Source organism: Homo sapiens, chromosome 6, assembly GCF_000001405.40.
Source record: "Homo sapiens chromosome 6, GRCh38.p14 Primary Assembly".
In the NCBI taxonomy this organism is placed as follows: domain Eukaryota; kingdom Metazoa; phylum Chordata; class Mammalia; order Primates; family Hominidae; genus Homo; species Homo sapiens.
The window spans coordinates 338,247-364,846 of NC_000006.12; the positions used below are offsets into that span (position 1 = coordinate 338,247).

Here is a 26,600-nt window from a genome sequence, read left to right on the forward strand (position 1 = left end):
TGGAAATGGTGGAGCTGACTTCGGAACTTTGAGTGACTCAGCTTGTTAAGAGGCAGGCGATGAAATAGCTTGAGTTTCTTTTTACCTGTTACAAGTGTTCTACTGGAAGGCATAGTGTACTTTTTAATGGTGAGCATATTTTCACCATGTAATCAAATGATTCCCCTCAAGTTGGCAGGCAGAACACCTACCTCTCTCGGGGTATTTATTAAGGTGTTTATTACCAAGTATCAGGTGCTGACAATCAACTTTTGCTTTCTGTATCATCAACCAATGAGGATGGTCAGACGACAAATATTCGTATTTCTCTAGTTAACAAAAGCAAAAGAAGTCTTACCTGTCACTTGGAAACTGTGTTCTGCAGGACCTAAACAATTTGAAATAGTAGCTCTTTAGCCACTTAAAAAATTCTCGGTGCTTCAGAGTTTCTCTATTCAATGATAAAATAAATTCTGGAAAACTATGTTGCTCATTGTTTTAAACTTAAGTACAGATTTTAAAAATGAATGCCAGCTTTGATGTAATTTAACACTCTATATCTTAAATTTTTCCCCACAAATCCCTGCACGAACAGGAATTCTGGCAAGTTATGCTTAGTAAGAGATGTGTGACCTTTGAGACTAGCTGTTGTCACTTGACATTCAGTTGCTGCAGACTGCCCGGAAAGGTCAGTTTTCTGTCTTGGCCTCTATCCTCTCAAATCTCCCTCTCTGATCTTCCAGGAACTTAAAATGCAGAAACCTAGTTTGAGATAACATTAACATGTTAGAATTTCAGCTCAGTTCCCCAACCAGCTAGCCTTGCCAAGTCAGGAAATGTAAAAGTTCAAGTTCTCAGAGTTGTAATAACCCCACAGACCTACTGTGGTGTGTTTTGCATGATTTTGTCATGATTAGAGGCGTCCTAGAGTTTGTATCAAATGCACACACTGCGTGTTCCCCAAGTGGCCAGCGTGGTATGGGTTAGTGAATTAAGGGCTTTGGAAATACTCACTTGCTTTTGCTTTCTCTCTGGGATTTCTTAGAAAAGTCATTTTAACCTCTCTTCTCTCATCTGTAAAATGCCTATCTCACAGGGTTTTTTATAGTATTAGGTGAGATGATATAAGTGAAAGTGTTTTTTATGAACACTAGGCATTTCTGGAAATATGATTATATTTTCTGTCTATTCAAGTAAAGAGTATTAATATGTTTTGAAAGTGAATGGTTAGATGCATATTAACTTATATTTACTCATCTTGCTTTAATATATATTACATTGGCATTTTGTACTTTGACATCATGAAGCAAGTAATTACAGATTTTTTTTTTCTTTTTCTGTGAAGTCCAAGGGCATTTGATCTCTGCCAGGCTATGGAGTCGGTATACATCATTGCAGTAGCGCCTTTGTGACATTCAGTGGTTTTAGAATCTAGCAGGTCTGTAAATTTCTTGAGGTTTTTGTGGGGAGAAGAAGCTTTAGCAATACAGAGAGCCTATATTGAAAACATCGGTAAAACGTCCTTGCCTTATTCTATCTCCCTATCTTTTTGTCTATATTTTCTTTAACTGACACCTTCTGTACTTTCAACTCTCTTTTTCTCTCATTTACGTTTTTCTTTTATTTTATTATAAAGGAGCACTTTTGCAAGATGAGAGCTAGTTGGGCCCTTGGACTACTGTGGTCCTGCTTCCAGACAGTTCCTGAGGGCTCTGCCAGCCCATAGTGATGTTCTCCTGCTCAAGGAGAAAATGAGAGCTGAAAGTGGCATTCAGTTTTCCATAAGACTTCATTTATTCCACTTAAAAGAACTATCGTTTAGTCTTAGATTATGTCCTTCTTTTTGTTGTTGAAATATTCTTCTGGGAAATGATGTTGTAGTAAGTGGTAGAGAGGCCCTTTGTTTTAGTTTGCTTTTAAAAAGCCCTTATCTGGCCAAATGAAAAGTACAATATATGCATCCCCCAATTCTATTTTTAATGTTGACAGTGCGTGAAATATCAAAGTTGGGGAATCACTGATACAAACGTGGGCTGGTTTTGTGTGTAATGCTGTGTGCTGATAGGGCAGCTCCACCATGTCTGTCTGATGAGGAACATTCTTCCCACTTACCTCTGGGTGGACTGGGGGCTTCACCATCAGCCTTCCAGCTGGAAAGCGTGCTGGGGCAGGGCCTGTGGGTTGGGGGCCGTGGACAGATTTCTGCCCGAAGAGGAAGCAGCTCTCTGTTATGAAACCACCTTCCAGAGCCTGGACCCAGATAGAATACTCTACTCATTTGCTATTAGAAAACAAGCAAAAACTTTTTTTTCTAAGCAAAAACATACATATTTACATATGTAATGTATAAAAATATAGATTTCTTATATATAAGGATGCTTGCCTTTTTTGGATTTGTCCTTTGCTTTCATTTGCACATACACTTTTGTATCATTTGCAGGAAGGAGGAGCACCCTGTGTCCCTGTGGCCTTGCTGCTGTTATAGCGTGGTCTGGTACCATGGGCTTTTAGGGTAGGGCCAGCTGCCATTCAAGGTGCTCAGCCAGATCTCTGGGCTCCCACTCCAACAGGCAAAGTCCTTTTGAGCAGGACAGGACCATCTTAGATCCTACAGTGGGGATTGAGGCCTCCAAATCTTGCAGTCCTGGAGTGAGAAGTAGTTGTTCAGCCTCAAAAGTGAACACCATGTAGTGTGATGTACAAGCTCATCCACCATCTTTTCTTAGACTCTCTGAAGGTCGGTAGAGCCCATCTGGGCACTGGCTCTTGGCCTTTGATGCAGAAAGGAAGGGACCCAGGCAGAGGGTGCTGGTCTGTGACGAGGGAGGGAGACAGCTGCGGGTGACTGGGCAGTTTGCGAGTCCCCTCTCCCTGGAGGTGCCCCTGCTGCAAGGACCGCGGGCAGGAGCGGGCATGATAGCCCCGGGCGCTGTTTGGTGAGTTTCTAACGCAAGCGTGGTCCGGTCCGTGCTTCCTTGTGCAGCATTCGCTGGCTCTCTGTGGACTGAGCCTATTCCACACGGCTGTGCGTGGACGTAAAGGTGAACTGCCGATGAAACGGAGAGCAGGAACAGGGAACTTGTGTTCATCGAAACAGCTTGCGGTAGGATAGTGCTTCAGACTCGCACTTCTGCTTCTAACTGCAGTTGAGCAATAGAAGGACCAGGACTGTGGGTATTTCCCACTGTGGAGGAGGGAGTTTAATGACCAGAGTTGGGGCTTCTGTCATCAGCTTCCCTGGAAATAACACCCCCACACACAGTCCTGCACCAAAGTGGCAGTGCGCTCGCCTGCCTCTGGGCTTTTCTTGGAAAAGGCATTTCTAGGAATATCTCTCTGGCTTGGCCTTGTGCCGAATTGTGTCCATGAGTCAAGCTGCACTGTGGGGCTCTGAGCGGCCGCCTTGTTGGCATCCTTCCGGCTCCTGGGGTGGCGCCGCGAATGGCCCTATCATGATGCCTGCACAAGGGCTACGCAGCCCAGGCCCCCAACATGGTGGTGGATAGGAGCTATGTCCTGTGGGCTCTACTGGACTTAACTCTTACTACAGACGGAAAGAGCTACCGGGGGGTGGTGGTGCAGAGTGGGGTCACCTCTCCATAACCTCCTCAGCTCCTTCACACGCCCACTCGGCTCTCTGGGCACGGATGGGTTTGGATGGTGCCAGGCTGAGCACACTCCCCTCTTGTATTTTGAGATGTGGCAAGGCTGACTCTTGAACCCAGGTTCAACCCCACAATATGTAAGAAGCCCGGTTTCATTGTGTCTGTGGTTGGGGACGTGCAGATGTCAAAGTGAGATATAAGAAGTGGTCCCCACTCCAAGGTTTCAGTGAAGGGATTCAGTTGTCATCTTTACAAGACCTTGGTGAGGTTCGTACAACTGAATGTGACCCCAATCCTGTCCCCACTCAGATGGGCAGCTGCTAACTTTCATGTTGCTGTGTGGTCTTTGCAGTGTGTTCTGACGTGCTCTGTGGTTTTTCATTTACTCAGGCGGTCGTCATTCATTTCTAGATTTGCTTTTGCTTTTTTGGCTGCTCTGCGTACAGACACGGCTCTTTCTGACCAGAAAGAGACCCACACAGAACAGACCAGCGTGGGCACAGCAGTCAGGGACAGCGTCTTGGCACCCTTGGGGGGCCACAGCAGCGTGAGCAGCCTGGGGGACCAAGGAGGGTGCCGTCCAGCTGCACCCCTGCAGCCAGCCAGTCAGCTGCCCCAGCCTGTGCACTGGCCTGTCTACTGCAGCCTGCAAGGAGGGCAGGCACCCAGTGTAAACCACCAGGCAAGTTGCAGACCAGCAGTCTGGAGCCACTTCTGGGCCAGATGAGTTGGCTCAAGGTTTCAAACATTTTTGAACTAGTTGCTGATATCAGGTAGCATGAATTTGGCCATGAGTGGCAGAATACCGTGTTTGACTGACACATGGCATTCTAAGGGAGAGAGACACTTGGCAGCAGGTGGTGCAGCTCTGAGCATGGCACTCGCTCCCAGCTCCATGGCCGGAGGTCAGGGGCAGAGATAGATCACTTTCCTCTCTTCGGGAAGGGAAAGGTTTTCCAGAAGTCCCTACCCACAGCCTTTCCATTGCTTCAACATGGACAGAGCTGCAGGAAGACAGGATGTCCTTCCCAAACAAAATCAGTGCGGCTGACATGTCTTGTCCGGTTCCATTATCTCCAGGCCAGCAGACTTCTCTGCCAACCGCAGACGGCTAGTTGTGCTGAAGGTGTGGGGAGCTCCCAGCTGGCTACCCAGCTCTTTGCTGGGGGCCAGGCTCCTGCCCAACAAGGCTCCCTTCGTGCCCCACTCTGCTGTATACTTGGCTTTGCGGCCTGGCTGTAATGGGTGTCTGCTCTGGAGTGTCCTTCGGCACTGATACCTTAGATTTCGGGATTACAGCAGGAATCCTTTCTTGCCTGCTGTGTACCAAGCCACCTTATTACATCTGGGTGCAGGTATTCTGCTACTCATGGCCAAATTCATGCTACCTGATATCAGCAACTAGTTCAACAATGTTTAAAACCTTGAGCCAACTCATCTGGCCCAGAAGTGGCTCCAGACTGCTGGTCTGCAACTTGCCTGGTGGTTTACACCGGGTGCCTGCCCTCCTTGCAGGCCACAGTAGACAGGCCAGTGCACAGGCTGGGGCAGCTGACTGGCTGGCTGCAGGGGTGCAGCTGGACGGCACCCTCCTTGGTCTCCCAGTCTGCTCACGCTGCTGTGGCCCCCCAAGGGTGCCAAGACGCTGTCCCTGCCTGCAGTGCCCACTCTGGTCTGTTCTTATTTACATCTGGGGGCAGTTATCCCTGGGAAAGTTAACAAAAGCAGATGTGCTAGTTAGAGATGTCAGGTCAGAGTCCGGAGTCCTTGATTTGGTCCCCTAGGGATTTGTGCTTGTGGTGACCCTTGCAGTTGTTGCAGAACATGTGTGTGCATGTTTGCGTGTGCATGTTTGCGTGTGCATGTTTGCATGTGGATGCATGCACATGGACAGTTGCTGCTGTTCCCTGGCTGTCCTCATCTCACTGAGCACCTGCCGTGAGGTCGCTGAGTTTCTTCTGCAGTCAGTACCTGGGTGAGTTTGTTAGGCCGTGCCTGAATTTCTCATTCTTATTACATTCATGTGCCCTGGCATTCTGAATGTCTTACAGTTTATCAGAGTCCCTGGCAAATTGTCAGTACTCAGTCAGTGTTTAAAGAGAAGTCAGTTTAGTCCATGGGCAACTTTTGCTGTTTTATAAGCCATTCAAAGGTAGAAGACGTTGGAGAGGTACATGTGCTATCCATCCCGAGGTGTCAGCACTTAACCCACAAACCAGTCCAGAATGAGGTCTGAGTGGCAGGGGACACACATGCTGGTTGGGAGCGCACCACAGTGGGGCTCGAGTCCTGCCTGGCTTTGTGCCTCAGGGACTTGGCACAAGGCCGTGCAACCAGGCACTCCCTGAACGGTTAGGGGGCTGAATGAGTGACAAGAGAAAAGGGCAGTCTGAAAAACTAAAGAGTTAGAAGAAGAAAGGATTAAGGCACGCGTCATCATTTAGAACTTAGTTCTATTATTTGTTTATTTATTGAGACAGGGTCTCGCTGTGTCGCTCAGGCTGGAGTGCGGTGGCATGATCTCGGCTCACTGCAGCCTTAACCTCCTGGGCTCAAGAGATCCTCCCACCTCGGCCTCCCAAGTACCCGGGACTACAGGCATGCACCACCACACCCAGCTAATTTTTTTTTGGTATTTTCTGTAGAGATGAGTTTCGACATTTTGCCCCGGCTGGTCTCAAATTCCTGAGCTCAAGTGGTCTGCCCACCTCAGCCTCTTCAAGTGCTAGGATGATAGGTGTGTGCCACCGCGTTCAGTCCATTTAGGACTTCAGAGTTTGCAGAGCATATTGGCATGTATTACCTCATCTGCCCTGTGAGATACCAGCCCCACTTTATAAATGAGAAGATAAATGGCTTGTCCTGGGCCACACGGTCCAGTAAATGGCAAAGAGGGATTGGAGCCAGAATTTCCATTTCCCCACAGCTCTCCACTGAGCTGCAGACAGGACTGCCAAAGTCCCGGGAGACCAGTTTGAGAGAATGCTTTTAGATTTTCCAGATTGCCAGGAGTAAATCAGCTTTTAGGACTTGGAAAGCCCACACGACGTGGTCACCTTCCTCACCTGCGTCACGGTGGCCTGCACCATCCACAGCTGGTGTGAGGGTTCCTGCTGTGCTGCTGGGGCATTGAGGGGCTCCGATTGAACATGGGGGGCGCCGTCCAGAACTTCCCTCAACCCCAGTCTGTGGTAACTATGTGTTTCAGGGATTTCTTACAGAGAAATTCCAAAACTTCCAGACAACCCACAGCCTTCCCTAGACCTCAGCATTGTAAATAATGGATTCTGAGGCTGAGACAGCTCCAGCCACAGACAGTATGACCAGGTTTTGATGGTATGGGACTAGGAGAGCTTTCAGTAAACCACAGGAAGAATAAATTCTGGTTTCTTTCTTTTTTTTTTTTTTTTCCTCTGTTGCCCAGGCTGGAGTGCAGTCGTGTGATCTTGGCTCACTGTAATCTCTGCCTCCTGGGTTCAAGAAATTCTCCTACCTCAGCCTCCCTGGTAGCTGGGATTACAGGTGTGTGCCACCACACCCAGCTAATTTTTGTATTTTTAGTAGAGACAGGGTTTCACCATGTTGGCCAGGCTGGTCTCGAGCTCCTGACCTCAAGTGATCCGCCTGCCTCAGCCTCCCAAATTGCTGGGATTACAGGCGTGAGCCACCGCACCCAGCCATGTTCTGGTTTCCATTACCTGGTGGATTATTTGATTATAGCAAATAATAATGTAGTATATGTTTCAAGATAGCTACAAGAGAAGCTTTTGAATGTTATCACTACAAAGTGATAAATGTTTAAAGTGATTAAGCATTTATCAGGTAATTATCCTGATTTGATTATTATACAATGTATACATGCATTGAAGTGTCACACTGTAGCCCATAAATATGTAGAATTATGTGTCAATTATACAAAAAAATCAATTAACATTTTAAGAAAGAAGCCTCAGGTAGAATTTTCTTTTCATCATATATTGAGTAAAGTAGAGAGATGTCATTTCTCTTTTTTTCTTTTCCCAGGACAAGACATTTCAAAGAAAGTATTAAATTCATTCACGAGTGCCGGCTCCGCGGTGAGAGCTGCCTTGTACACTGGTACGTGTGTCTCTTGCTTAATAGCGCCTTAGCGTATTCTGGTCGGCTTGGCTTCCCATCAAGTGTTTTTCCGTGTGTGAATAATGGTTTCACCTCCTAATAGTTTTCTGTAAACCCTGACTCTCAAACGCGTGCTCCATTTGTCCAGCGCTGTGTGTTAGTCGCCCTTTCCTTCTGTTGAAGGAGAACCCTAACTCGTTTTGCTTTTGTTTTTTTCCCATTTCCACTGCTAGGATTTCTGTAGGGACCGTGAAGGTTACTGGACAACAGAAACTTCCCTTTGCTGGCTTGCCTCCAGCATTTCATCAGAACAGCCTCTTACAGATGACCCAGATTCTGTAGGCTCATCCTTGAAACCTCAGTGGCTTTTTGAAGACACTGTTGTTTTTTCTTCAGGAGACTTGATTGCAAATGTGGATTTTCAGTATCGCGCTACTGTGACACCAGAATGACCCAGTTTAGTGACGGCTGTCTGTTTGCATCCTGCTATATTTTGTGTAGACACACACACACACACACACACACACACAGTGAAAAGAAAGCTACTGTATCACGCTTAACCCGAGGATGATGCATCTGAAGCGCTTGGCAGTGTGCCTGGCACATAGAGAGTTCTTAGTGAAAGTGGGATGGCATTTTTATGACCACTCGTAATCATGCTAATAACATGGCTAATTTGTTCAGGGAACCAGTAGCCAAAATTCAGGAGCCAAGGCTCTGTTGTCTAAGTGCTAGGCCGGACATGTCCCCTCTCTGTCTTGAATGAAGTGTGTTATTAATTAACTGGAAGCCTAACAGTCTTTTGACATTCCCCGAAACAGTTCCTCTTGCACTGTAAGCTCTTTAGGACTGTGAAGTGATAACTCCTGGGGAATATTGCTGCTGAGGTTGGTGGCAGCCCTGCCAGGACAGAGGGGACCCAGGGACCCAGTGCATGACATCCAGAGAAGCCACCTATGAAAACTATAATGTGTTCTGAGGGCCGATAGGGACGACAGGGAGGACGCTAGATAGTTGAGTTGTTTTTAGAATGGTGTCTGCAGTTTCATACAGTTCTTGAAATCACATGATTTTTCATCTCACTTTTTTAAAGAGTAGAAAGTGTAATAAATACAAATGGTAGGATTTTAACGTTCATTTCTGTTTGGCTTTAACATACCTTGGGGGTTCAATTGGAGCCAATTAAAGCGGAATTCTGGAACTCCCACTCCTGGGCTTCTCCTGGCTCCTAGTGAAGGTGAATCTCCAGGGTTGCAGCCCCAGAGGATCTGTCTTTTAAGATCTCTCCTGGTAGTTCTAATCTAAAGCCCTAGTGAAGAGCCACTACTTGAGAGTGGGGTTTTAAAATTATTGTTTATATTTGAATATGTGTAGGCCTGATATTCTAGGAATTAATACTTCATACAGTTCTGTGCACCTAAAGATAGGCTTTTCTAAAAGTGAGACATTTGCTGAACTTCCCCATCTTAACCTGTTGCTAGAACTCTCTAAGTCTGATGAAGCACAGCCATTCTGTGACCGCCTTCATTTGCATGTACATGTAAAACGGGTCTCACTCAGCCTGCTCCAGGTAACTGACCCTAACCGTTACTGCCTGCAAGGGTGCCTTGCTCCCACCCTGCGGACACAGTGTGCCTGCTCTGTACTCTGCATATTTATGTCAGGAAGAGTACAAAAGTAAGATTGGGTAAGGGCTTCTCTACATCATGGGCTTTAAAAATTATAGATCTAGCCCTCATATAGCTGAGAAAACTCGACTTTTAAGGAACATGAAGCATTCTAAACAAATGTAGGTTATAAATGGGTTTGTCGCGTAGGCCCTGGAAGCCTCGTTTCCTTGGAGTACCTCAGTTATGTCGTTTGTCCGGGGAAATGGGAAAGACCTGAGGAGGGGCTGAGGAGCAAGGGAGCATCTGGAGCCACAGCCCATAGAAAACCAATAAAAGAAGCTCAAACAGCAGAAGAAAGCATGCGATTCTAGTGCCAGGAAGCATAGGGAGCTGGTACGTTGAGTGCTGAGTGGCTTCCTGGTGGCGAGCTTGCTGTCCACATATAATCCAAGGCAGGAAGACTTTCTGAACAAGGTCCTTAGAGTCCCCCGCTCCACATGGATTGGGCGATGAACCCGGAGATCTGAAACTGCCCTCACACATGTGCTTCTCTTGGCCCCGCAGCCTGGCCGGGGTCTCCAGGAGCGTGACACTGGTGATCGCATACATCATGACCGTCACTGACTTTGGCTGGGAGGATGCCCTGCACACCGTGCGTGCTGGGAGATCCTGTGCCAACCCCAACGTGGGCTTCCAGAGACAGCTCCAGGAGTTTGAGAAGCATGAGGTCCATCAGGTAAGCAGTTCTTAGGGGACATCAGAGATGCAGGCAGGTGCCCCTGAACGGTGCCCACAGTCTTTCCGTACACAGCCAGCATCATGGCGTTTGGAGTTGAAAGGCCCACAGAGGACATCGGCTCCCAGGGCGCCCAGCTGCACCCCTTCAGAAGTCGTCACGATCCCTCGTGCACCTGTTGAAGCCACAGGCGCCTACCCTTTGTCATTCTCCTTGTGCCTGGTACTCCCTACTAGTTTGTTTCTCTCCCTTTGGGTGACGTACCATTTCCTTGGTCTGGCCTATTTTCATGTCCTAGGCCAGCACCTTGAAGGAGCAGTTCCTTCTCTTGCTTGACCCTGGCTGGCCAACCACAGAGCTCTGATTTCCCACTGCTGTTTGTTTCCCTGGTTATGTGTGGCACCATCTCTGTGGTGAAGTCACAGGTGCAAGCCCACGTGGATGCAGACGTGCACATGTGTGTGACGTTTCGGGTTTGTTTCCATCCTCTCCAGTATCGGCAGTGGCTGAAGGAAGAATATGGAGAGAGCCCTTTGCAGGATGCAGAAGAAGCCAAAAACATTCTGGGTAAATATAAGGAGCAAGGGCGCACAGAGCCCCAGCCCGGCGCCAGGCGGTGGAGCAGTTTTCCGGCACTGGCTCCGCTGACCTACGATAATTATACGACGGAGACCTAACGCAAGCGACCTGCTGCCTTCCTTCCCACTGCTTGTCTTCAGTGTGCCCGGCTGGGCAGGGGTGCGGTGGTGGTGGCCGATGAGGACAGGAAAGGGAGATAGCCAGGGCGAGGTGGGGCGAGGGCTCCTTCCCCCAAGCAACACCGCCCAGCCCTGCTCCAGGCCCCTGCACTCCGCCCACCCCTACCCTGGCTGCACCTGAGCTTGCTGCCCCTGGGGATGTTGCCCAGTGGCTGTGCACTGCTCTGTGCACGTGCGTGTGTGTGAGTGCACTTGTGTGTGGGTGACTAAGTGGATGCATGTGTGTGCCTGTGTGAGTGAGGGTATGTGCACCTAAGTGTGTACATGTGTGTATGTTGTGAAAGTGTCTGTGCACATGAATGTTTGTGTGTGTGTGAACTCTTTCTTACTGCTGGAAGTCACAGAATTCATATTGCTGCCCGGGTTGGTGTGGCCACCTTTCCCTTTGTCCAAGACTCCACATGGAAGGCATTTGAGCTCGACCTCCGAAAAGCTACCCAGCAAAGAGCAGTCTGTGCCTCTGAGCAGACCGTGAGAACTCAGGGGACGAGTGGCTAAGAGCATGGCCTCTCCCAGAACCCACCCAGGGTGGTGTGGTGGGGGCAACAGGGGCCAGACTCCTCTAGAGGGAGGGTGGCTCTGGGGCCCTGGAAAACGTGAGAGACTGCCCTGAGCTGGTCCAGTGGGCCAGCACTTTATACCAACTCAGCATTTAAGGGAAGTATCTTAGATTGCCTCCATCTCAATGTGAATGCACCAGGCTGAGGGTTCCCTAGCGCCTTGAGTCAAGGCCACTTTTCAGCCCATCGAGCCCTGAGTTCTACTTGGTGTTTGTTCTCTGGAGCTGATTGCACTTGAGCTCTGTGGTGGGCAGGCGCACTTTAGCCTAAGTTGGGTGCCCCAGGGCACCCCCTCCTCTCTGCTCCTTGCCAGCTTCATTCACTCCCAGCCTCTCGCTGTCCTCACTTTGCAGGGGCTCCTCCTCAACATTTGCATGCACCTGCAAGAATTGGGAAGAAAGAGCATTTATTAGGCACTGTAGCAATTTGCATTTTAAAATGCCTGAGCATTTATTAAGCTTCTTGGTATTCACTTGGGTTTGATAATTGATCTGAGCTACCTCATTGAATGTTTTTGGAAAGGTGTTTTTTGGTATGCAAGTCAGCTTTGCCTCACAGTTGAAAATGTTCGGTCATGATTGCTTTTGAAACCAAAGGGGAAGGTACCGATATCATTGAGCTATTTAAAGTTGCCAGTTTGGGCTCCAGTAATGCTTTCTGGTGGGTAAAATTCCACATTCAGGCCACGAGAGCATCTACAGTTTGTACTCTGGGGCTGCAGGCATCCTGGGACGCTGTACGCAATTCAGTGGTCTAGTCCTTTATACCGACTCAGATTCCTTAAGCATGCAGAGTCACTCGAATGAAAAAACATACTCGACCTCTCCCTAAAAAGATGTTGCAACCCAGTTTCTCTGAATTCCACCACAAAAAGAGACCCTGAATAAGAAGAGCAGTTTTCCTGTGCATATAGAGGGTGTGTCAAAGGTGAGCTTTTTGGGGACCGGGAAAAACAAAGTTGCCTGATTCCGCGCAGGTGCACAGGCCCCGGATGTACACCCGGAAAGGGGAGTGTGGCTGTAGAATCATCCATCCGTCTACAGCTAAAACAATTTGCCAATAAAGTACATGTTTTTCCTAAGCCAAAAATAAATACGTTAACAGAAAAATGATTTAGGATATAGCTTGAATGCTTAAATATGTGCACCTTTACAAACCTCTCAGTGTATTCTTGGAGTTCTTGAAATGTTGTTTTAATATTTGTTGCCAGTAATGTTCTTTCTTCACAGCCGCTCCGGGAATTCTGAAGTTCTGGGCCTTTCTCAGAAGACTGTAATGTACCTGAAGTTTCTGAAATATTGCAAACCCACAGAGTTTAGGCTGGTGCTGCCAAAAAGAAAAGCAACATAGAGTTTAAGTATCCAGTAGTGATTTGTAAACTTGTTTTTCATTTGAAGCTGAATATATACGTAGTCATGTTTATGTTGAGAACTAAGGATATTCTTTAGCAAGAGAAAATATTTTCCCCTTATCCCCACTGCTGTGGAGGTTTCTGTACCTCGCTTGGATGCCTGTAAGGATCCCGGGAGCCTTGCCGCACTGCCTTGTGGGTGGCTTGGCGCTCGTGATTGCTTCCTGTGAACGCCTCCCAAGGACGAGCCCAGTGTAGTTGTGTGGCGTGAACTCTGCCCGTGTGTTCTCAAATTCCCCAGCTTGGGAAATAGCCCTTGGTGTGGGTTTTATCTCTGGTTTGTGTTCTCCGTGGTGGAATTGACCGAAAGCTCTATGTTTTCGTTAATAAAGGGCAACTTAGCCAAGTTTAAGGTCGCGTGCGATGCATTCTTCCCTAGCCAAGGGGCAGTCACCACGCGCCCTTCTGCCTGTGAGGGATTCCAAGGCAAGACTGAAGCCTACTCCTGGTTTTATTTTAGAGGCTATTGTTTGCCTCCAGAAGGCGCTATAGCAGATGCTACAAAAGGTGAATTCATGTCTCCAAGAAAGAAAAATAGGCCATGAGTGTGAGGCGAAGGAAATGTGGACATGAGAGTTAGTTCTGTTTTGCCTGCACGGTGGGAGCGGCGTATTCGGCACCTGGAACGAGTTGTGTTTGCCCAGGAGCATGCAGCCAGCCGCGCCGTGTGCATCTGCCGCACAGCATTGAACACAGCTACTCTCATTCCATCTTCAGCTTTTAATCTGAGGGAACGTCACCTGAATTGACGAGAAATTTAAGTCAATTTGTAAAATTTTCCTTCTCTGATCTGGTGGAGGAAAAGGGAAATTTAACGCTGCTAGGGTAAGTTTGGGTTGATCTAAAGGCAAGTGAACTCATGAGCTGGTTGACTGTAGGTGGCAGACTTTATGTAGATTCTGATGCCTTGAAGCTCCCGGCAGCAGCTCAGGGGAGTGGCTGGGGGCCACAGGAGAGGCATAGGGAGGTAAGGCACCTTGCCAGGTCCCCAGAGGTCTGACTCCTGAGCTTCTAGCCTCTGCAGCAGTCCGATGAGCGTGAGGGGACACTCTGAATGCCTGGTATGGCACAGGTGGCTCTGTCCTCGGTGCCTCTGAGTGTTTTCATGGGCCAGACCAGCAAGCCCTGGTTGTGTCTCCTGTGGGGCCCACTCAGGAGGCAGCAGCCAGGCCCCAGCACAGCCCAGGAAGACTTGTGTGTGTCTCCTGGGGTGTGAGGCAGTAGCCACAGCAGGAAAACAGGTTTTCATGCAACAGCCCCAGTCTGCAGGGTCACCCAGCTCTCAGCCAATGTCACTCCCCACTACCATGTCTTACTGCAGGCTTATATCTGACACCAACACCCATCATCTCATAATTGCGTGCTGCTCTGCAGGTCCCGAACTGTTGCCCCTAAGCTTTTTAAACTGACAGAGAAGGTATTTCACTCATTCGAGGCTCAGAGGGGCTGTGAAATGCACCTCGGAATGCGCCTGAAGATGTCCACATTGCTGGGACTGGAACCTGCTGGATCTTTTGGTCCCAAATCAGTGGGCAGGGAGGGAAGGAGTGAGGGCACAAGGGGCTGCCAGCTGTGGCTGGCGAAAGCAGCTGGGAGGAGCTCAGCAGAGTCACTCATGGGCTCCGGCCCAGGGCTCTGGAGGGTTCCACTGAGGCAGGGCCAGGCTCAGGCAGCAGTGTTGGCACCAGGAAGCTCTCCTTGCCTGCCCCCCTCCAGTCTCTGGGAGTTTGTTTTGGGCCATCGAGTGGGGGCAGTCAATTCCTGACCTCTGTCCGGAAGCTCAGGGCCATGCTGAGATGGTATTGACCATCTTAGATGTTACAAGCCAGAGATCCCGGTCTGTTCACAAGCAGGCCAGGCCTTGTGGGTCACCCTGGAGATGGGAATTGGCAACCTCTGAGCCCCCGTGAAGACCTGGACGTGTACAATGAGGTGGGTTGAGGTCCACGGCACTTTCCGTTATGCTGTTTTTTCTTCAATTTCTTTGAACACAGATCTTTTCTAGCCTGAAACTCAGAATCACAGCCTATAAGCAGAGGAGACTTAACTGGGTCAGCTGCCTCTCCATTCATTCATTCATTCATTCATTCATTGACTTGACAAATTTATAATGATCGTAACAGGTGCTATGGGATCCAGCCAGGCCTCAGACACACTCCTGATTCTCAGAAAGACTGTGGCCTGGGGGGGTTGGCAGTTAGGAAAGTTGTCACTCACAGCAGGGGTCCCCAGCCCCTGGGTCACAGAGCAGTACTGGTCCATGGCCTGTTAGGAGCTGAGCCACACAGCAGGAGGTGACCACTTCCTGTCAGATCAGCAGTGGCATCAAATGCTCATAGGAGCACAGACCCCATCGTGAACCGTATGCGAGGGATCTAGGTTGCACGCTCCTTATGATAATCTAATTAGTGCCCAGTGATCTGAGATGGAACAGTTTCGTCTCGAAACCATCCCTGCCCCACTGTGATCCATGGAAAAATTGTCTTCCACGAAACTGGTTCCTGGTACCAAAAAGGTTGGGGACTGCTGACTTACAGGACAGCATGGTAAGGACTATTACAGCTGTCCCTGGTGCCGTGTATGGGGGAAAGGGGTGAAAAGACACATTCCAGTTTGAGGAGGTGGGAACATTTAAGGGAAGTATCTTAGAAAACGCAGTACCTAATTTAAGACCTGCAGTATAAGCCGTGGAATGAGCTGGGCATGGCGGGAAGGAAGGAGAGTTCAGGTGGAGGCTCAGCACGTGGGCTAGCCAGCAGGCATGAAAGACCTTGGGGTCAGGAACGAGAGCCACTGCAGAACTAGAGCAGCCTCCCCAGGGCTGGGCAGTGCTGGGATTGTGCCAGCAAGGCTGCGAGCACAGCCGAAGCCTGACCAGCCAGGTTTACTTCCTAGGCCAGCCCTTGGAGCTAAGCAGGCTGAGAGGGGCAGCACCTTACCATGTTCTCAGAGGTCTGACTCCTGAGCTTGTAACCTTGTAAGTGGTGCGGCTGCAATTCTGCAGATGGTGGGGGAGTGGAGGACTTGCTGAAGGGTGCTGAGCCAGCGGGACGCATGATGGATGTGCAGGCAGAAGGCTCACGCAGGTGCCCAAGTGGGGTGGGACTGCATGTTGGGGCCAGTCAGGAGGCTGCTGCTAGGACTATGCCGGTGAGAAAAAACAGCAGCCTGCCACGGGTCATGGTGGTGGAGATGAAGAGGGGCCCAGCAGGCAAATGGACTTGATGGAGGGTGGGGAAGGACATGCAACTATTCTTGGTGACTGATTGCATATTGGGGAGTGAGGGCCCAGTGCCCCGCCTGCTCTCTGGGACCTTGGTAACAGTGCGGTGGCTCTTTTGTCCCAGCATCTTCCTGTACTGTGTGGTGTGTATGCCTCTGCAAAAAGGTTTAAGGAAGATGCTACAGAAGGGGCTGGGTGGGTCCCAGATCAGGGGCCTCCAAGCGGGGCTGTGCTTGGGTGTAACCTGGCTCTGCGGTTAGGTACCATGTTTGTCCATCATCCAGGACACATTCCCAGGGACCAGACTCATGAAAATGAAGATTGAATTCAAATTTCCGATTTCCTATTTTACTGTGAAGGATAAAATATTGGCTCTCCAAAGACTAATGTCATCTCCTGGTCAGGCTAGCTCTGTTTCTGTCATTAGCAAGATTTGGGGAGATTACCTTAGTCCTGGGGCATTGTGCAGTGAGCGTGAGTGGTCAGGACCTGAAGCTGGGTAGCCAAGGCTCTGTCCATACCTGCCGTGTCTCCGGGCTGGGGTGCTGCTGGTGCAGCAGATGAGGCACATGTGAGAGCAGGGCTGCTGCTCCTGAGAGGCTGCCTTTCCTGGGCCCCAGGCAGACCCCTGCTGCACACCTGTTCTCTCTGCCCATGGTGATTATTATTTTGTGTGTCTGACAGAGTCTCACTCTGTTGCCCAGGCCAGAGTGCAGTGGTGCAGTCTCGGTTCACTGCGACCTCTGTCTCCCGGGTTCAAGTGACTCTCCTGCCTCAGCTTCCCAAGTAACTAGGACTACAGGCGTGTGCTACCACGCCTGGCTAATTTTTATATTTTTAATAGAGACGGGGTTTCGCCATGTTGGCGAGGCTGGTCTCGAACGCCTAACCGCAAATGATCCACCCACCTCAGCCTCCCAGAATGCTGGGATTACAGGTGTGAGCGACTGTGCCTGGCCTGCACAAGGTGATTCTTTTCTCAGATCACCTTCCTTAAACTTGAGTGTTTCCAGATCTCCTCAGCACCATTTGTGCTTTTCCCTGGATTCCTGCTAGTGGCTGTTTTTGTTTATTGGGTGCCAGCTCTTTCTAGTTTCAGTCTCAGCAGAGAATTCTGTTTCCAACTTCTGGAGCTGCCTTATGTTATTTGGACACAAGACAGCCGTAAATTCTGCTGACCAGGGTGTGCATGTGTGGGCAATGTGTATTTTATCATTTTAGTTTTATTTCAGAGAACACCTTAGCTTCCAGGAGAGTTACATGTGCAACATCTCGGAGAGTGCTGAGCTCAGGTTCCTGGCCATTCAGGTAGCTCAAGCAGCAGGCACCTGAAAGCACTCCGAGGAATGGCCAAGCCCTCATCGCACAGCCAGAGCTGGTCACAGTGCTGCTCTGCACACCAGCCTCTAGTCATAAAAATAAGGAACACACTAAGAATCACACCCCTGTGATCCCACATCAGATGTCTCCTCCCATCCTGAGTTATTAATAATTTTATTAAGAATATGCTTTCAACACGCTTGTATTTATATATGTACTTAACAAGAAATCACCAAGACTGCAGCGGGCAGTTCCTCTTCCCTTTCCTTTTCATTGCCCAGAGAAAGGGAGAAAAAAAAACAACACTGCATTTGACTTGTCACTTGGAGGCTTAATTCCCTTCTTACATGCAGCAGTGGGGTCTCCTTCCGCCCTCAGGCACAGCTTGCTTTGAGACTTGCAGTATCACAATTAGTGTTCTCTTGCAGCTTGGACTTAACCAGCTTAAATTACCATCTGACTGAAGGGTGCGAGTGCTGGGTCTGCATGTGTTTCTTTCCATCAGGGGAAAGATTTGCCAGTGCATGTTTGAACATCTGCAAGTTTGGGTTTATTTTGGCTCCAAATCTGTATGCAAACTGTTGGTCATAAAGAGTTAGAAGTTCACAGCGAACCTTCCTGAAGCTTCTAGTTCAGTTTTTAGAGCTTGATGTTGGAAGAGATCTATTTCAGCAGGTGCCTGAAAGTATAGGGAGTTCAATATTCTAATTGCGTGTAGTGGCAGCTATTGGTTTAGAGGTAGGTTTAGCAGAAAAGACATTTTGGATGGGGTCATTTCTGTGCATGTCCTGTGTACACAGGCCTGATTTTAAAAGCTATATAGGCCGGGTGGGGTGGCTCACGCCTGTCATCCCAGCAATTTGGGAGGCCGAGGTAGGTGGATCACTTGAGGTCAGGAGTTCAAGACCAGCCTGGCCATCATGGTGAAACCCTGTCTCTACTAAAAATACAAAAAATTAGCTGGGCGTGGTGGCAGGTGCCTGTAATCCCAGCTACTTGGGAAGCTGAGGCAGGAGAATCGCTTAAACCCAGGAAGTGGAGGTTGCAGTGAGCAGAGATCACACCATTGCACTCCAGCCTCCGCAATAAGAGTGAAACTCCGTCTGGAAAACAAACAAACAAAAACCTAGATGATGGGGGTGAGGTTAGGGGGATGCTTTTTGGGTTAATAATTCCTTCAAGGAATAATGTTTGGAGGACAGGGCTTGGAAAAGTGCTAATCCCAGCAAGAGCCGCCTTCCCAGCTTGGCCCGAGGAGCCACATCACCACGCAGCAGCCCCCACGATGCACAGTAGTGGTAGGAAGCTTGGCCCCTCTCTCCCCGCAGAGGCACGTCGTCCATTGTTCTGCCCTGGGCCTCGGGCACCCACCCCCAGAAGCGGCCCCATCAGCACAGACAGGAAGTGCACCTTGCTGGTGAGCAGGTCTGCTGCTTGTCAGTCAGCGCTGGGTTTCCCCAGACACTGATGGGCAGCCTTTTTGGAAAATAAGAATCAGAAGACTCCAACACGTGCACCCAAGAAATGTCACCTTCTGCTTTACAAAGGGTGTACCCTTCATGGCAACAGGCCCAGCCGCACAGAGCTTCCTCAGAGCCAGTGTCCTGGGAGAGGCCTGTCATGTGCCAGGGTCAGCTGCTGGGATTCTCCTGGGTTTTGTGTTAAGCTGGGCCAATGTGGTGACACGGGGAACGCCAGGAAGGTGTGAGAGGAGAGGAACCGACTCTTGGCTGTTACAGCGGCTGTTTGCAGGTTCAGGTGTGGCCGAGAGGGGTGCAGAAGGGTGGGCTGCCATCATTTCATGCCTGGAAAGTCACTTCCACAGCAAGAGGCCCGCTCCATGCCTTGCCAGGCCCTCCCGTCACCGTGACCCTCCGGCTCCCAGGACCACCAGGAGCACAGGTTGGGGCAGAGGTGGTATCAGCAGATGAGAGTCTTGAAGTGGCTGGGGCCAGGCGGGCCTGGCTGAGGTTCAGTTGGGTCCTGATTCTCTGGAATACCTTGGGGAAGTCCCCGAGGAGGCAACACACTCATGTGGGGAACTTTTCCCCTCCACTGCCATGAAAAAAACTCCCTAGAAGGGATGAGGGGTGCAGACAGCACCCTGGCTGGTGGCATTTGATGTGTCTGGGAAGGCCCCTTCTATCCCCAAAGACCTCCCATTAGATGGCAGGGTGGTCAACCTGAGCACGGCCAACAGCCATTGGGCGCTGATGCATGGCGAGAACTGGCAGAGGACCTTTTCTTTTGAAATCACGTCCTCACCACCATCTTGTGAGATAGGTTTTACTATGATCCTCGCTTTCAGATGAAGACACTGAACTCTAGTCTGACAGCCAGGAGGCAGCCAGGTCAGGACTGGAATGCAAGCAGCCTGACCCCAGTCACAGGCAAGGTGCGCCTACAGTCACCCCAGTGCCTTTGAGGGGGAATCACGAGAGGAGGGTGAAACCCACGCAGTGCCAGCAATCACGTGCCACTGTGTTGAAGTTCTTCCCTGAGGATGGGCGTGCATTCGATTAGAGGCCTTGTAGAGTGTGGGAAGGTAGGGAGTGGCAGAGATTCACTTCTTGCTTCTTGCAACCAAAGGGTTGCAGCAGGACAACCACGCACGCCTCTGCCCGGACCTTTCTGCCTTAGCCTGCAGTAACTGGCTGGGCACTGGGTGTCCTGGGCCCTGGGTTGCCCCCCGCAGGAATATAGAGTTGCCTGTGTGTGCAGTGGTGGGTGCTTTCTGTTCTCGATGCTCCATCTCTGTGAAAGATGAGCTCTGCATGTCCCACAAGGTATCTTCAGAAGCACAGAGATTTGCTGTGCTTGTCCAAGAAAGCACCCTATGTGTTCAGAGTGGCCGAGACGGGACCTCTCCCACAGCCTGGCACCAGGTCCTGGCAGGAAGCAGCCCAGTCTGAAGAACTCAGACAAAGAGAGGCTCATCAAGACCAGGCAAGAGAAGCAGCAGTGGGTGTCAGAGCAACCAGACTGGCAGGAGCTCCCTCCAACCCCTGAGGCTGAGGGGCAGGGCTGGGCAATGGTAGCACCTGAGCCCATTAGGACCTGGACCCTGGAGGGAGCCGGCAGGCCCTGGGCAAGGCAGGCTTTAAGAAGTGCAGCGAGGAAGAGTCTGTGTGGGGTGGCCTGGGTGGTGGGCACGGAGCCGGGTGGTTGCCTTTCACACAGGCAGCCCTGGCCCTCAGCCATGGGTGGGGCTGGCACCTCAGTGATTGGATGGAGGAAGTGCTACCAGCTTCTGAGAAGCATCTGAGTGTCAACAAGCTGACACTAAAAGGGGGTCTGAGTGGGGAGTCTCTGCTCTCCTACACAATGTGCTCCAGAAATGTGCTATTCGGAGCTTTGCCTGTGACCCCCTGCTTCGGAAGCATTCCTGCCCATGTGCCCCACTGATCTCTGCTTTTCCTGGCAGCCTGTCTGGAGAACCGACCCCTCCCAGGGAAGGTCATCTGTGTTATGGGCGTGGGAGCATCTGCTATGAACTGTGTCCTCGTAAGAGACCCCCATGAAGAGGGGGTGGCCTCATCTGCGGCCCCATTGGCCGCTGTGCCCACAGCCCACAGTGAGAGCAAGGTTGGCACCACACAGATTGCCATGAGGGAAAGGAATATTTAATCTGGGCAGCCTCTGTTCGGAGGAGGTGGGGAGAGAAGGCAGTCACTCTGGAATATTCCATGAACAGAGTGGAGCCTCGAAGCCTGGAGCGCAGGCAGGGAGGTGCACCGGGCGGAGAGGCCCACAGGGGCTGCTCGGTGGGGGGGGGTACCCTGGGCGAGGAGGGGGGTCTGGGAAGAGGGGTGAGGGCACCGGGGCATGAATGGCCTGCAGGTAAAGGCCCAGAACTGGCATGGCCTTGGCATCACACTTGCAAACGCTGAGGACCTATCCTGGGGAGACCAGAGACTAGAAGGCAAGAAGGGCTGGTTTCCAGGTGCCTGCCCAGGAAGCTCCTGTGCTGTGGGCTGTGGGCGGCTGTGGAAGGCCCTGGGGCTTGATTTAGGCCTGGGGATGCTGGGCTGGCGGCTGCGAGGGAAGAGCAGTCAGGAGCAGGAACCACTGCCTGGACTGGACGCCTCAGGGACCTCTCCATGGAAGAATTGAACAAATGAGGTGACAATGTGGGGGCCATCGCCATCATCTCCTTGTGACTGGCTGCGGTGGCTTGGGTTCTCCAGAAGCAGAAGCAGCATTAGGGGTGCAGACGGCACACTGGGGGGTTTACACCTGTGACAAGAGGAGGAGGCCGCTGGGTCCTCCAACTACAGCTCGGTCCCACCTCCTCTCCACCAGCCCCATGGGCGCTGCCAGCAGGGACTGCCCTTCTGAGGAGCCAGGGTTGGGGAAGGGTGCAGAGATGCCCGGCCCTGTGCCCCAACCTCACCTGGGTGTGACCAGAGTAGCACGTACCTCCAGAAGAGGCTGGAGCTCAGGGGCACCCACCATGCTCCCAAACTACCTCTACAAAAACGAACAAAAAACTGCAGTGCACCTCTGTTGAGCGATATGATCTGATTGAAATATTTGTCACGCAGCACGCCCTCTTTCTGTGCCAAGAATCGCCACGTGCATGTCCCTTTTTTACTGTAATATTTATTTTATTTTCTTGGTTTTTTTTAACTGGTATGATAAATATAAAATTCAATAAAAGAAAAGCTTTACTGCATGCGTTTTTTCTATCCCTTATTTTATCCCATGGTTATTAATGATTGTCATATAGAAGGGTGTCATTAATCGGATTTCCCTGACACCTGACACACTTGCCAACTGGTTCCATTTCATTTTTTCTACAGAAACAGAAGTGAAAAGGTCTTGAAAATTATCTGACTTTTCACAGCTTCTTTCATTCTTTCTAGTCCTTTCTTCAAAGATAACTGAAGGTGACTGGTGATTGTTGAGGACTCTGGATGAGAAAGCTGCTTTGTTTTTCCTGAGTGTGTTCTGTGGGTATCCCTCCCGCTAAGAGACTCAGCGTAGGAAAGTCTGCGTCTCACAGGAGGCCGATAGAGGCGGAAGCTTCCCTGTTTCTCTTTGTCAAAGAAACCCCTTTAGGGTGTCTTTAAATTACCATTTCCCCAAGTGCATTTCAGAGTCAGATTTATAATAACATAATAATTTATGTAGATACAGCTTGTTAAGACTACTTCTACTGCCAAAAAAAAATTAAAAAATCACAGAACACCTCTATTTGATTATGTGATCTAATTTAAATATTTGTGAATGTTTGATGAGGCCCAGTCATGCAAATGCCTCTTACTGTACTGAGAATCACCATGTACAGTTTCTCTAAGGTGGGGCTCCCGCCTTCCTGCCAGGAGACCTTAAGCTTCTTGAGAGCAGGGCCTGGGGCTTTTCTGCCACTTAGAAGGGACTGGTACGCAGTAGGTGCTGGGTCACCTTCCACGCGGACCCTCGGACCCTTGTCAAATCACTGGGCATGTCTCTGCTCCTCCCTCCCTTTGCCTGTTGTCAGAGCCTCACTGTGGCCTTGCTTGTTTCAGGAAGTTGCTGCACCCCGCGAGCCAGCAAGGACAGCTGCGGGGGCCCCAGCTCATCCCTCAGAGCTGCGGATACAAAGTCTGTGTATCCTTCACAGAAAGAGCGCAGTCTTGGAGCTGCGTGTGCACCTCGCTGTTACTAGCATGCTGGCCGAGTGCCTGGCTGAGCGGTCTGCCTGGGAGCAAAACTCCTGCTCCCCGAGTCCTCACTCACCCCACCTTTAGAAATACGCTCAGCCCTTCCTTGCCCTTCGCATGCTGTGGAATAGGCAGGGCCAGCTTTAGTCCACCTGGAGCTTCGTAAGCTTCTCCGTGTGTTGACATCATTTGTTTCTGGGACTTTCTGTTAAAAAGAAAGTTTTAGGAATTGAGTGTTAGCCTCTTAAGCTTTCTTTTTTGCTTCCTTAAGCTTAAAAAAATCATCCTGTCACGTTCATTCCCTTTTTCTGCATTGAAATCAGATCATCAAAATTACTGTTGGCCCCACTGTGCCTCCAGCTGTGTGCGTACCCCCACCCAGCTGATGCCACGTACCCACCTGAGAGGGTGGGGGCTGCACTTGGAGGCGAGGGAAGCCTGGTGTCAAGCTCATTTGTCTCCACCTGCGTGAACTGCTCCTGCAGCTCCAGCCTCTAGCTTCGTCCACCTTCTGGTTTGGGTTTTTAAACTATTGTCTCTTTCTGAGCCTATCATTGACCTGATTCTTGTCACCTTTCACTCAGATCCATGCACTTACTATCTGATAGCCTTGTTCTATTTCCTAGATTTTTTCTTCCACTGCCTTTCTCTCAATGTACGCTCATTTCTTGGAAGAGTTTGATGTTGACTGTTTGCTGTGAAACTAGCTCTGAACAAAGTTCACTGTGGCAATTGAAACAGTTGTTTAAAGCAACTTTTCTTTGAAAGATGCACAGCTTCTGATACCGGCCTCCCGCACTGCTATAAAATGCCCAGGTTAACACTGAACAACGTGAGCCACTGGACTGACCACCACGTCCCCGCTGCGGACTCCCGGCCTAGACTTCACAGTGCCTTTGTGAACGCTTCAGGGCCACACGTGGCATTCAGGTTTCCAAATCTGTTTTAGTTTGCAACATCTTTTATGTAGTTTCTTAGGGAAAAAAAAAAAGATTCTCTAGATTTTCTGTCCAATAGTTTCTTTCTGAGATTACAAAAAAAAAAATGTATTGTTCCTTCATCTATGTCAGAATCCAGAAAACTACTTTTATTTGGCCAATTCTAGAACGCTTTCAAAATGTTTTCCGCTACAGAGCACTTTCACAAAAATTAACTCTTTTTCGCAACAAACCTATAAAATAACTAGCGCACATTTAGCTCTGAGCAGCGGAGGCTCATCTAGCACTGCGGCCTGACTCTGGGTCCAAGGCTCTTTGCCCTAGACCGCATTGGAACCCAGGGTCAAGGAGCTCTTCAAGTAAGCAAAACAAAGTCCTTTCAGAATAACTTAGAAGCAAAGGTCGAGATAGCCTAAGCAGATGACATAATTAATTTGAAATGGATTTGTTTATAAGTTAATAAAAAAAGACGACAAGTGGAGGGGACCACAGTTACCTAATCCACAAGACAGTGTTGTCACCACACAATACAGTCATGCAGGAAAATGGTTTTCCGTGAGGGTGTGCCTTGAGGCTATAGGACTTGGAAGTCATCTTTGAGGCTCGTAGTAGGCATGAACTGGCGGTGTGTGGGATCCCACTGAGGAAGTCTGGACACACAGCTGGGCGCCATCTTGATGAGATGGCAGTGAGTAGACATGGATTTGTCCAGGAGAGACATTGCGGAAGAGGCAAAGACAATTCCAAAGTCTCCCAAATTCTTGGAAGATTCAAGAAAGACAAAGCTACCAAAAAGAAACAAGAGGCCCCCAGAAGCTTCCTGGGAGGGCAGATGAGGCTAGTGGCCCAAGCACTGAGCAAGCAGGGAGGAGGAAATTTGACCTGGGTGACTGCCTGGGAGCAGGCGCAGATGCTCCAACAGAAGGGCGTGCTCTGGGGAGCACTTGAGGTGGACAGAGGGCGCCGCTTCATCCATAGTTGGACAGACCAAGCACTGAATTATGTATTCTAAGAAATGCAATTCTGAACCAGTGACTGCTATTCAGTCTAATACAAATCATCAAACACAAATGAATATACTTCTAAGGCGGTACAGCCAATGTCCTCTTGCCCCAGAGGTAAGAATCGTTTTGCCCCAAAACTTTTACAAAAAAAAAAGAAAAGCTTGCAAGTCCTTGGAAAAGAATGATCTTCAAAAGAAAAATTTCAATCGGAAAAGAAGCAATGGGGCGATTAAAAAGTGGCTGTGACAACCACCCGTTTAAAGAGACAGTGATTCAGTGGAATGGTGGGCGTCCTCCTGACTTTCTGAGCCAGACTGAACTGACTCGGCACACCACCACCACCCTCTTCGACGTCTACCAGCTTCAGACTCAAAGGTTAGGAAGCAGAAAACCCACCGCCCTCTTCGACGTCTACCAGCTTCAGACTCAAAGGTTAGGAAGCAGAAAACCATGACATTCTTCGGAAGTAAAAAACAACTTGAGATTTGGGAAATTCGCCTGACTGGCATCACTTGGGTGGTGAAGATTTTCTTTTGTCCCAGATGTATACTTTTTGATCTGATAATAGCACTAGACAAATGTTCACGTGTGGAAAGAAAACTTCTCAAAACGACCTCTGAAGCTTATATTTATTTATCTATTTGCCAAAAGGAAGCAGGCGAGATTTAAGGTAAAAACAAACAAACTGTGGCTTCTGCAGCGACATCACCTTTTGCTTATTTGCGTATTTTATGAGACCCTTGTTCTTAGTGTGGTTGTTGCCCAAATCTCACTCAAGGAGACCTCACCGTAAAATCCCCGACGTGCATTTCACAGAATAGACACTGCTGTCCTGTGACGCTTCAGAGCCTGCTGGTCAACAAAAACCAGAGAGAACGTTCTACACGCCGTTTTCTAGGAAACGAGTGGGATCTGATCAGGTGGATCCTGACCTCGCGCTTGGCATGATTTGTGACTTTGGTGGCTCTCCCTGCAGTGTTGTCAAACGCTGCTGGGTGCGTCCCCTGCCTCACTGGCCCTTCTGCTCAGGCTCAGTGCAGCCTCTCCCGTCCACAGTTTCCCAGTCCTTAGAGTAGGGGCAGGATTTCTCAGAGTTTTCTCTTCTGTAACATACCAGATGGAGAGTCATTAAAAGATAGAAGTGTCTTTTTGATGTGTGGCCTTTGGGAGAAATTAGAATCATGAAAACTATTTCCGCTCTTCATTGTCGCTGCGACAACATGTCTCGAAAATGATAGAATTTTCTGTTATCACCTTTCTTTATCCAAAACTTTGCCAGATTGGCGTCCCAGGATAATTTATCCCAAAACCCCAGTTTCTACGCATTTCTCGTGGTGCTTGGCTCCACAGAGCTACAGATTCCTGAAACGGCACAGGTTGCCTCCTGACTCAGGGCTGAGTGTTACAGCCACGTTCATATTTAGAACATGGCAGGAAAGGCCTCCAGTAGTGGACAGACACCCATCTCGTGGCTCTCAGACAGGTCATGAACCCCCTGAAAATCTCTAGGTCTCTAAAAGAGTGGATATTTTTTACAGTAAATTAACAGCAGCTGAATTCTCCAAGAAGACATGGGTTACCCCATTTACACTAAGAGTCCTCAGAATGTCTTTGAATAGCAACAGCAGCTGTTCTGTAATGCAAACCAAAGGACAGAGAAACTTTTTTTTTTTTTTTTTTTTTTTTTTTTTTACTATGGTAGAGTTTTGAGTG

At 49.5% G+C, this 26,600-nt stretch overlaps 1 protein-coding gene across 7 annotated transcripts in view, besides 11 other annotated features; it reads left to right on the plus strand.

The window, feature by feature from the left end:
* The window catches only part of DUSP22 (dual specificity phosphatase 22), a 58,869-nt gene extending 45,760 nt beyond the window's left edge, over positions 1 to 13,109 (plus strand). For 5 of the 7 annotated variants that reach the window (NR_104473.3, NR_104474.3, NR_104475.3 and 2 more), the window contains 3 exons: positions 7,608 to 7,682; positions 9,857 to 10,028; positions 10,523 to 13,109. Coding sequence is in view for 4 of the 7 variants with exons in the window: in NM_001286555.3 (NP_001273484.1) it covers positions 7,608 to 7,682; positions 9,857 to 10,028; positions 10,523 to 10,705 (430 nt within the window). In the remaining 3 variants the exon portion in view is untranslated. The remainder of the gene's footprint in view (positions 1 to 7,607; positions 7,683 to 9,856; positions 10,029 to 10,522) is intronic. The other 2 variants (NM_020185.6, XM_017011062.2) reach the window with 1 other exon arrangement.
* Positions 754 to 953: a silencer, noted in NCBI's record as "silent region_16805". NCBI's record gives its function as "represses an Ori minimal core promoter by ATAC-STARR-seq in GM12878 lymphoblastoid cells {active_cell/tissue: GM12878}" and the evidence as "EXISTENCE:reporter gene assay evidence [ECO:0000049][PMID:35858748]".
* Positions 3,933 to 4,202: an enhancer, noted in NCBI's record as "active region_23833". NCBI's record gives its function as "activates an Ori minimal core promoter by ATAC-STARR-seq in GM12878 lymphoblastoid cells {active_cell/tissue: GM12878}" and the evidence as "EXISTENCE:reporter gene assay evidence [ECO:0000049][PMID:35858748]".
* Positions 4,680 to 5,180: an enhancer, noted in NCBI's record as "H3K4me1 hESC enhancer chr6:342926-343426 (GRCh37/hg19 assembly coordinates)". NCBI's record gives its function as "activates a minimal SCP1, AML or CMV promoter by ChIP-STARR-seq in primed H9 embryonic stem cells {active_cell/tissue: H9 hESC(primed)}" and the evidence as "EXISTENCE:reporter gene assay evidence [ECO:0000049][PMID:30033119]".
* Positions 8,733 to 8,782: an enhancer, noted in NCBI's record as "active region_23834". NCBI's record gives its function as "activates an Ori minimal core promoter by ATAC-STARR-seq in GM12878 lymphoblastoid cells {active_cell/tissue: GM12878}" and the evidence as "EXISTENCE:reporter gene assay evidence [ECO:0000049][PMID:35858748]".
* Positions 9,333 to 9,552: an enhancer, noted in NCBI's record as "active region_23835". NCBI's record gives its function as "activates an Ori minimal core promoter by ATAC-STARR-seq in GM12878 lymphoblastoid cells {active_cell/tissue: GM12878}" and the evidence as "EXISTENCE:reporter gene assay evidence [ECO:0000049][PMID:35858748]".
* Positions 13,226 to 14,080: an enhancer, noted in NCBI's record as "H3K27ac-H3K4me1 hESC enhancer chr6:351472-352326 (GRCh37/hg19 assembly coordinates)". NCBI's record gives its function as "activates a minimal SCP1, AML or CMV promoter by ChIP-STARR-seq in naive H9 embryonic stem cells {active_cell/tissue: H9 hESC(naive)}" and the evidence as "EXISTENCE:reporter gene assay evidence [ECO:0000049][PMID:30033119]".
* Positions 15,732 to 15,781: an enhancer, noted in NCBI's record as "active region_23836". NCBI's record gives its function as "activates an Ori minimal core promoter by ATAC-STARR-seq in GM12878 lymphoblastoid cells {active_cell/tissue: GM12878}" and the evidence as "EXISTENCE:reporter gene assay evidence [ECO:0000049][PMID:35858748]".
* Positions 17,859 to 18,088: an enhancer, noted in NCBI's record as "active region_23837". NCBI's record gives its function as "activates an Ori minimal core promoter by ATAC-STARR-seq in GM12878 lymphoblastoid cells {active_cell/tissue: GM12878}" and the evidence as "EXISTENCE:reporter gene assay evidence [ECO:0000049][PMID:35858748]".
* Positions 22,847 to 23,039: a silencer, noted in NCBI's record as "fragment chr6:361093-361285 (GRCh37/hg19 assembly coordinates)". NCBI's record gives its function as "represses an EF-1alpha promoter that drives an FKBP-Casp9 reporter gene in an ReSE screen in phorbol 12-myristate 13-acetate-treated (for megakaryocytic differentiation) K562 erythroleukemia cells {active_cell/tissue: K562(+PMA)}" and the evidence as "EXISTENCE:reporter gene assay evidence [ECO:0000049][PMID:32094911]".
* Positions 22,847 to 23,394: a biological region, named in NCBI's record as "H3K4me1 hESC enhancer GRCh37_chr6:361141-361640".
* Positions 22,895 to 23,394: an enhancer, noted in NCBI's record as "H3K4me1 hESC enhancer chr6:361141-361640 (GRCh37/hg19 assembly coordinates)". NCBI's record gives its function as "activates a minimal SCP1, AML or CMV promoter by ChIP-STARR-seq in naive H9 embryonic stem cells {active_cell/tissue: H9 hESC(naive)}" and the evidence as "EXISTENCE:reporter gene assay evidence [ECO:0000049][PMID:30033119]".